The sequence below is a fragment of the Homo sapiens genome, chromosome X (assembly GCF_000001405.40).
Source record: "Homo sapiens chromosome X, GRCh38.p14 Primary Assembly".
Taxonomy (NCBI): Eukaryota; Metazoa; Chordata; class Mammalia; order Primates; family Hominidae; genus Homo; species Homo sapiens.
In genome coordinates, this window is record NC_000023.11 from 73,220,919 (window position 1) to 73,229,353 (window position 8,435).

The 8,435-nt window shown below is 37.3% G+C and overlaps 1 pseudogene; it reads left to right on the forward strand.

The window, feature by feature from the left end:
* On the forward strand, positions 2,093 to 2,840 carry TOMM20P4 (TOMM20 pseudogene 4; annotated as a pseudogene).
* Positions 2,841 to 8,435: the final 5,595 nt, after the last annotated feature.

Below are 8,435 nucleotides of genomic sequence, written 5' to 3' on the forward strand. Positions count from 1 at the left end.
GAACAAACCAAACTCAAAATTTGTAGGAAAAAAATAATAAAGATGAGAGCAGAAATGAATAAAACTGAGACTAAATTAAATTTACCAAGTTGTACAATTAAAACCATGAATCAGTTTTAGAACACTTTCATCATCTTGATATTATCTTTCATGAATAATTACTGTTACACTTCTTACTTATGCTGTAGGTACCACTAATTCACTTTTTGTCTTATAGTTTTGCCTTTGTGGGTATTTCTTATAAATAAAATTATACAACATGTTATCTTTTTTTTTCACTGACTAATCTGGGGCTCTTTTTCATCTTTACTTTTTTTTTAAATTCTTTAAGTTCTATGGCACATGTGCAGAACATGCAGATTTTTTACATAGGTATACATGTGCCATGTTGGTTTGCTGGACCCATCAACTTGCCATTTACATTAGGTATTTCTCCTAATGCTATGCCTCTCCCAGCCCCCCACCCCCTAACAGGCCCCAAGGTGTGATGTTCCCTGCCCTGTGTCCATGTGTTCTCATTGTTCAACCCCCACCTATAAGTGAGAACATGCAGTGTTTGGTTTTCTCTCCTTGTGATAGTTTGCTGAGAATGATGATTTCCACCTGCATCCTTGTCCCTGCAAAAGACCTGAACTTGTCCTTTTTTATGGCTGCATAGTATTCCATGGTGTATATGTGCCACAATTTCTTAATCCAGTCTATCATTGATGGATATTTGTGTTGGTTCCAAGACCTTGCTATTGGGAATAGTGCCACAATAAACATACATGTGCATGTTTCTCTATAGTAGCATGATTTATAAAACTTTGGGTATATACCCAGTAATGGGATCACTGGGTCAAATGGTATTTCTAGTTACATATCCTTGAGGAATTGTCACACTGTCTTCTAATTTACACTCCCACCAACAGTGTAAAAGCATTCCTATTTCTCCACATCCTCTCCAGCATCTATTGTTTCCTGACTTTTTAATGATCACCATTCTAACTGGTGTGAGATGGTATCTCATTGTGGTTTTGATTTGCATTTCTCTGATGGCCAGTGACGATGAGCATTTTTTCATATGTCTGTTGGCTGCATAAATGTCTTCTTTTGAGAAATGTCTGTTTATATCCTTTGACCACTTTTTGATAGGGTTGTTTGTTTTTTCTTGTAAATTTGTTTGAGTTCTTTGTAGATTCTGGATATTAGCCCTTTGTCAGATGGGTAGACTGCAAAAATTTTCTCCCATTCTCTAGGTTGCCCGTTCACTCTGATGGTAGTTTCTTTTGCTGTGCAGAAGCTTTTTAGTTTAATTAGATCCCATTTGTCGATTTTGGCTTTTGTTGCCATTGCTTTTGGTGTTTTAGTCATCAAGTCCTTGCCCATGCCTATGTCCTGAATGGTATTTCCTGGGTTTTCTTCTAGGGTTTTTATGGTTTTAGGTCTTAACATTTAAATGTTTAATCCATCTTGAGTTAATTTTTGTATAAGGAGTAAGGAAGGGATCCAGTTTCAGCTTTCTACATATGGCTAGCTGGTTTTCCCAGCACCATTTATTAAATAGGGAATTCTTTCCCCATTGCTTGTTTTTGTTATTTTTGTCAAAGATCAGATAGTTGTAGATGTGGGATGTTATTTTTGAGGCTTCTGTTCTGTTCGATTGGTCTATATATCTGTTTTGGTACCAGTACCATGCAGTTTTGGTTACTGTAGTCTTGTAGTATAGTTTGAAGTCAGGTAGCACGATGCCTCCAGCTTTGTTCTTTTTGCTTAGAATTGTCTTCGCTCTGCAGGCTCTTTGTTTTGGTTCCATATGAACTTTAAATGTGCTATACACTCCAATTGAAAGACACAGACTGGCAAATTGGATAAAGAGTCAAGATGCATTGGTGTGCTGTATTCAGGAGACCCATCTCACGTGCAGAGACACACATAGGCTCAAAATAAAGGGATGGAGGAAGATCTACCAAGCAAATGGAAAGCAAAAAAAAGCAGGGGTGGCAATCCTAGTCTCTGATAAAACAGACTTTAAACCAACAAAGATCAAAAGAGACAAAGAAGGCCATTACACAATGGTAAAGGGATCAATTCAACAAGAAGAGCTAACTAGGTTCCTGGCCCACGCCATCGGGTCTGAGCTGCGCCAACTGCTCTGAGGGTTCGTGGCCCACCGCTCCTTCATGGTTCCTGCTGCCACTGTCCACGCTTAGCGCTGTAGAGAAGATGGTGGGTCGGAACAGTGCCATCGCCGCCGGTGCATGCGGGACCCTTTTTATTGCGTACTGCATCTACTTTGACCACAAAAGATGAAGTGACCCCAACTTCAAGAACAGGCTTCGAGAATGAAGAAAGAAACAGAAGCTTGCCAAGGAGAGAGCTGGGCTTTCCAAGTTACCTGACCTTAAAGATGCTGAAGCTGTTCAGAAGTTCTTCTTTGAAGAAATACAGCTTGGTGAAGAGTTACTAGCTCAAGGTGAATATGAGAAGGGTGTAGACCATCTGACAAATGCAATTGCTGTGTGTGGACAGCCACAGCAGTTACTGCAGGTCTTACAGCAAACTCTTCCACCACCAGTGTTCCAGATGCTTCTGACTAAGATCCCAACAATTAGTCAGAGAATTGTAAGTACTCACAGCTTGGCTGAAGATGATGTGGAATGAGAAACAAATGTCAACATAATAAAATCTCAGTTAAAAATATTTTAAAAATTCTTGGTAGTTGAGCAGCTCTGGGGGAATAAGGGCAAATATGCTTGTTATGAACTACACTGAAATCTACCAAAGTTAATGTTTACTTTGTGTAGATCCATTTGTCCATTTTATTTATTTTTCCCAGTGAAAAGTGTAATTTGATAGAGAACTTTTCATTCTATAAATACACTATGGGTTACTAAAAAATCATGGATTTTGTTTATTCCTGAATCATAGTTAAACAGTACATATGACATGGCTCATGTTAAAAATACCCAGTGCTCGGTTTTGAAAGATAGGCAAAAAAAAATGTATAGGAGAAACTGAAGAGTGTACATGTTTTTAGGGGGCACATTTTGCTGTAAATCCAGAAATTTGATAGACTTGATTGTGTTTGTGAAAACTGAGCATTAAACGTTTTGATTGATCGTTTCTTTCCATTTAATCTCTGAGACATAAATATGTGAGGTGTGCTGCTGTGCTGGGTTAACAGCTTCCTTCCCTTTCTGTGTATCAGTCTTGAAATGTTCTGTTTAAATCAGTATGCTTAATGTGTTCTGGGTATTTATCTCCTTGTATTTTAAATATATGTAGTTGTAAATAGCACCAGGAGTTAGATCTCTGTACACCCCTAATCTAGCCTTGTGTGCTTCGCCAGTTAATGTGTGCTCACTTTCCCTCCATTTGTTACATGAGAGAATGCATCTGCTGATCACTGAAGTGTCCCTTTTAGCTTCTGATTCATTGGGTTCTGTTGGGCATCTTTAAATCTACCTTAACCTGAGGAATGTATGTGGGCAACCAGGCCCTGCATTTTTTTATATTCTGAAATTTGCATGCTTGCCTGACTTGGTATTTCTGAATTGATCTTTTTTTTAATGGTATAACTATCTTGATTTTCACTGAAATTATATGGTTCTGTCACTGCTCTGTGAATTAATCCAAAACTTTTAAGGTAACTGGGATGATCTGCTTGTAAAAATGTTTGTTGTCTTTTGCTTTTATCTTCAATGTACCTCCTTAATCCTACTTCAGCTTGATTAATTTATCTTGTTAAATGATGAGAGTAAGTTGCAACCTTGTGACTGAAGACTTGAAAAGAGTGGATCAGGTGGGACCTCTTATTCTCAAATAGTGACATATTCTCCGTAGTCACTGTTTCAGAACTGAGTAAGGATCCTTGGTACTTGGTGGCATCTGTTGAACTGAGGAGCATTTCTCATTGTAAAGATTGCCTTTGTTCTGTCTAAAAGTCTGTGGAGAAATCCCAAAGACTTTTCCTATGTATTAGGCATTTTATTTTGATTGACTTACAAACTTCTTAATCATTATTAATCTCGGTTTTTTTTTTTTGTGGTGTAGTGGAAGGAGAAACAGTTCTAGTTTCTGCCTCTGATTAGCTGCACAGCCTTGAACAAATCACATTTCATCTTTGAACTTACCTCTACTGTTAGACGAGGCAACTCACATTTGAGGACTTTTCTTGGGTATCTTGAAGGTTTGTGATCCTGAACCCTTAAACAGTGCTTTTTTGTTACACAGGATGCTTTTTTTGGGGGATGACCAGTACAAACATGCCAGTTAGTTTTACTAGTGGGATCCCAAATCTAAAGCAGTGTAGTGGTGATTGGTCAGTGACTAACCAGGCAGCTAAGAATTCTTAGGCAGCAGCCCAGACATGTATAGAGGGGCAGTTAGATGGAGAACAGGGATGGGAAAGGGAGCAAGGGGCAGACAGCTCAGCAAGGAAAGAATGGGCTCAGAAAAAGGAGGGCTGGCTGGAGGAGTGAGGGGCAGCGTAAGTTTGGGGAGGGTAGAAACACCCTTTCCTTGGGAACTGGAGTGCAGTATGAGCTGGGTGTCACTTGGCTATGAACATACTGGCTTTGCTGTAATGCTCAAAAAGGCAGTGGTGTCTTCATTTTACAGTTCATTAAGCCAAGTACATTTTCTTATTTAAATGACAACTTTGGTGCTTTAAAATGAGGTACCACTTTTTAAAGCTAGCTGTGTTGAGTTAAAGAAAAAAATCAGCACTTTTTTCTCCCAGAAATGTAATTGCCAAACACTATCCATTCCCATCTTAAATTTTACAAGGTGATAGAATCAGCTCGTTGCAGTGATGCTGGCCAAATGGTGCTCAGCAGGTGAGAATGAAAAAAACCCAGATTTCTGTGAACTAATACACAGCTTGAGCATTTCCATGTGCTAATGTTACACACTTACTAAAAACAAAAACTTTGGAAATGGAAAATAATATATTAGTGCAACAGTTGACATGCTTCTTTGGGCAAAGATATATTGTTTTGTTCCACAATTTATACTTAAAAGTGAAAGAACATTTAAAACAGACTTACTGGCCGTAGCAATGCTGGCCTGTTAACTGATAACTAGAACTTGGGTTCACATTTATGAAAAGTGTGTGAAACCTAGTAGAGCATGCATAGTAGGCACTCAGTAAATGTTTGGTTCCTTTTGCCCCTTGGTAAGTTTATTTTACCATCTTCCCACCTGCCATTCTGACTTTATTAAATCAACCTGTGGACCAGAGTGTTAATGAGATGTTATTGCAGCAGAGATTGAGAAAATTGGTATATCATGCAGATAACATACAAAATCTTTTTGTAATGTAAAAAATGCAGTTTTATTATTGCTTGTGCCTCAACTGTTTAAGTGAATACTAAAGGGATTGGAGGAAAAAAAAGCTAACTATCCTAACTATGTAAGCACCCAATAATACAGGAGCACCCAGATTCATAAAGCAAGTCCTTAGAGACATACAAAGAGACCTAGACTCCCACACAATAATAATGGGAGAATTTAACACCCCACTGTCAATATTAGGCAGATCAATGAGACAGAAGATTCACAAGGATATCCAGGACTTGAACTCAGCTCTGGACCAAGCAGACCTAATAACCATCTACAGAACTCTCCACCCCAAATCAACAGAATATACATTCTTCTCAGCACCACATTGCACTTATTCTAAAATTGACCACATAATTGGAAGTAAAACACTTCTTAGCAAATGTAAAAGAACAGAAATCACAACAAACTGTCTCTCAGACCACAGTGCAATCAAATTAGAACTTAGGGTTAAGAAACTCACTCAAAACCACACAACTACGCGGAAACTGAACAACCTGCTCCTGAGTGACTACTGGGTAAATAACAAAATGAAGGCAAGAGAAAGAAATACAGGGTATTCAATTAGGAAAAGAGGAAATCAAATTGTCTCTGTTTGCAGATGACATGATTGTATATTTAGAAAACCCCATCGCCTCAGCCCAAAATCTCCTTAAGCTGACAAGCAACTTCAGCAAAATCTCAGGATACAAAATCAATGTGCCAAAATCACAGGCATTCCTATACACCAATAACAGACAAACAGACAGCCAAATCATGAGTGAACTCCCATTCACAATTACTACAAAGAGAATAAAATACCTAGGAATTCAACTTACAAGGGATGTGAAGGACCTCTTCAAGGAGAACTACAAACCACTGCTCAATGAAATAAAAGAGGACACAAACAAATGGAAGAACATTTCATGCTCATGGATAGGAAGAATCAATATCGTGAAAATGACCATACTGCCCAAGGTAATTTATAGATTCAATGCTATCCCCATCAAGCTACCAATGACTTCACAGAATTGGAAAAAAATACAACATTTTCTCTTGTGTGTCTGACTTTGTTCATTGAAAATAAAGATTTTGAGATTTATCTTTGCTGTAGCATGTATCCATAGTTCATTCCTTTTATGCTGGATAGTATTGAATTATATGAATATACCGCATGTTTATTTTTTCACCAGTTGATGTATATACAGGCTATTTCTAACTTTGGTTACTATGAATTACATTGGAATAAACATTTACGTGCAAGTCTTTTTTAATGTTAATCATTCTATTATGTAGGAAATGCTATCTCATTGTGGTTTAATTTGTATTTCACTTATAACCATCTGTTCGTATTTTTATTAGCAATTCATATATATTTTGGTATAATGTCTTCAAATCTTTAGCTTATTTTTAATTGGTTTGTCTTTATTATTGAGATGTAAGAGTTCTATGCATATACTGCATATAAGTCCCTTTCAGATACACATTTTGCAATATTTTTCACTATGAGGTGGAATGTCTTTTTATGCCTAATAAGAAGTTGTTTTTGAAGTGCTGAAGTTTTGAATTTTGATGGGATCCATTTTATCATTTTTTCAATGGACTGTGTTTTTATGTCATAACTAAGAAATATCTGCCTAACCAAGACATTAAATATTTTCTCCTATATATAAATGTGTTAGAGTTTAAATCCTATATTTAGGAACCTGGGCTACATAGCAAGGCCTCATCTCTACTAAAAGTAATAAAAAAAAAAAAAGCAGATGAGGTGGTGTGTACCTGTAGTCCCAGCTACTTGGAAGGCTGAGGCAGGAGGATCACTTGAGCCCAGGAGATTGAGGCTTCAGTGAGCTATGATTGTGCCACTGCACTCCAACCTGGGCAACACAACAAGACCCTTCTCAAAAAAATACTTATTTGTGGTCTGTAATGTATTTTGAGTTAATTTTTTGTGTATTGTAAGAGTTACGAGCCTTGGCTTAGCTTTCTGCATGTGGATATCCCTTTGCCCCAAACAGCTTGTTAAAAAGATTATCCTTTCCTCAATGAATTACCTTGGTACCCTTATCATAAGATCCCTTGACTGTTGTAAAAATGAGTCAAAGACAGCCCCTCTATATTGGTCCCCATGTTGTTTACTCCTTCGCAGCACGTTGTTAGCTTAAAGCCTGTCTGCACCAAATTCAAATTATTACACATCCAAAATGTTCTAAACGTAGCCCGAATAAGCATATTATTGCCTCTTCTACTCCCTGCCTTTGACTCCACAAAAGTGCACCCCACTTCTATTAGCCTTAGATAACACAAACACCGTAACTATAGAAGATCCCAAATCACTGCTGCCCTTTGGAGCTTTCTGACCCACAGACTTCTCACTTTGCAGCTGAACAACACTGCTTAAAGGCATAAGCTACCTCTCTGAATCACCTGTCTTCTGGAAATTTCTTCAGCCACTTCACCTTCTTAGTGGAGACCTCATGATATTTCTCATGTATCCTGTGGTAAGGGATTTACTCTTTCATACAAATGGTGCTCTTCAAGCACCATTTAATAAAGTCTGTTGTACAATGATACTGTTTTGTTGTTTTGTGTTTTTCTTGGTGAGCCTCAATATCTTCAAACTTACCACACCTATAAATAAAAGAATTTATTTCTAGAATTTGAACTCAGTTTCATTAATGTATAATGTCTAGCCTTATGAAAGTACCACACCATCTTGACTACCATAGTTTGACAGTTTCTTTTAAAAAATTGGAAAGTGAAAGCCCTCCATCATTTTTCTTCTTTTTTGTTCAAAATAGTTTTGGCTACTCTGAGCCTCTTGCATTTCCACATAAATTTTATAATAACGTTGTCAATTTCTGCAAAGAAAACACCTTTATGAATTTTAAAAGAGAATACATTGAATCAGTAGATCAATCTGGGGAGAATTGGCATTTTAACAGTATCAAGTTTTCCAATGCATAAACAAATTCTTTTCATTTATTTTTCTTTAATTTCTCAAAGGCTTATTTCACTTACTGCAATGTCCTCCAGTTTCATTCTTGTTGCTGCAAATCACAGAGTTTCATTCTTTTCTATGGCTGAATAACATTCCATTGTGTATATGTATCACATCTTTTTCCATTCACTTA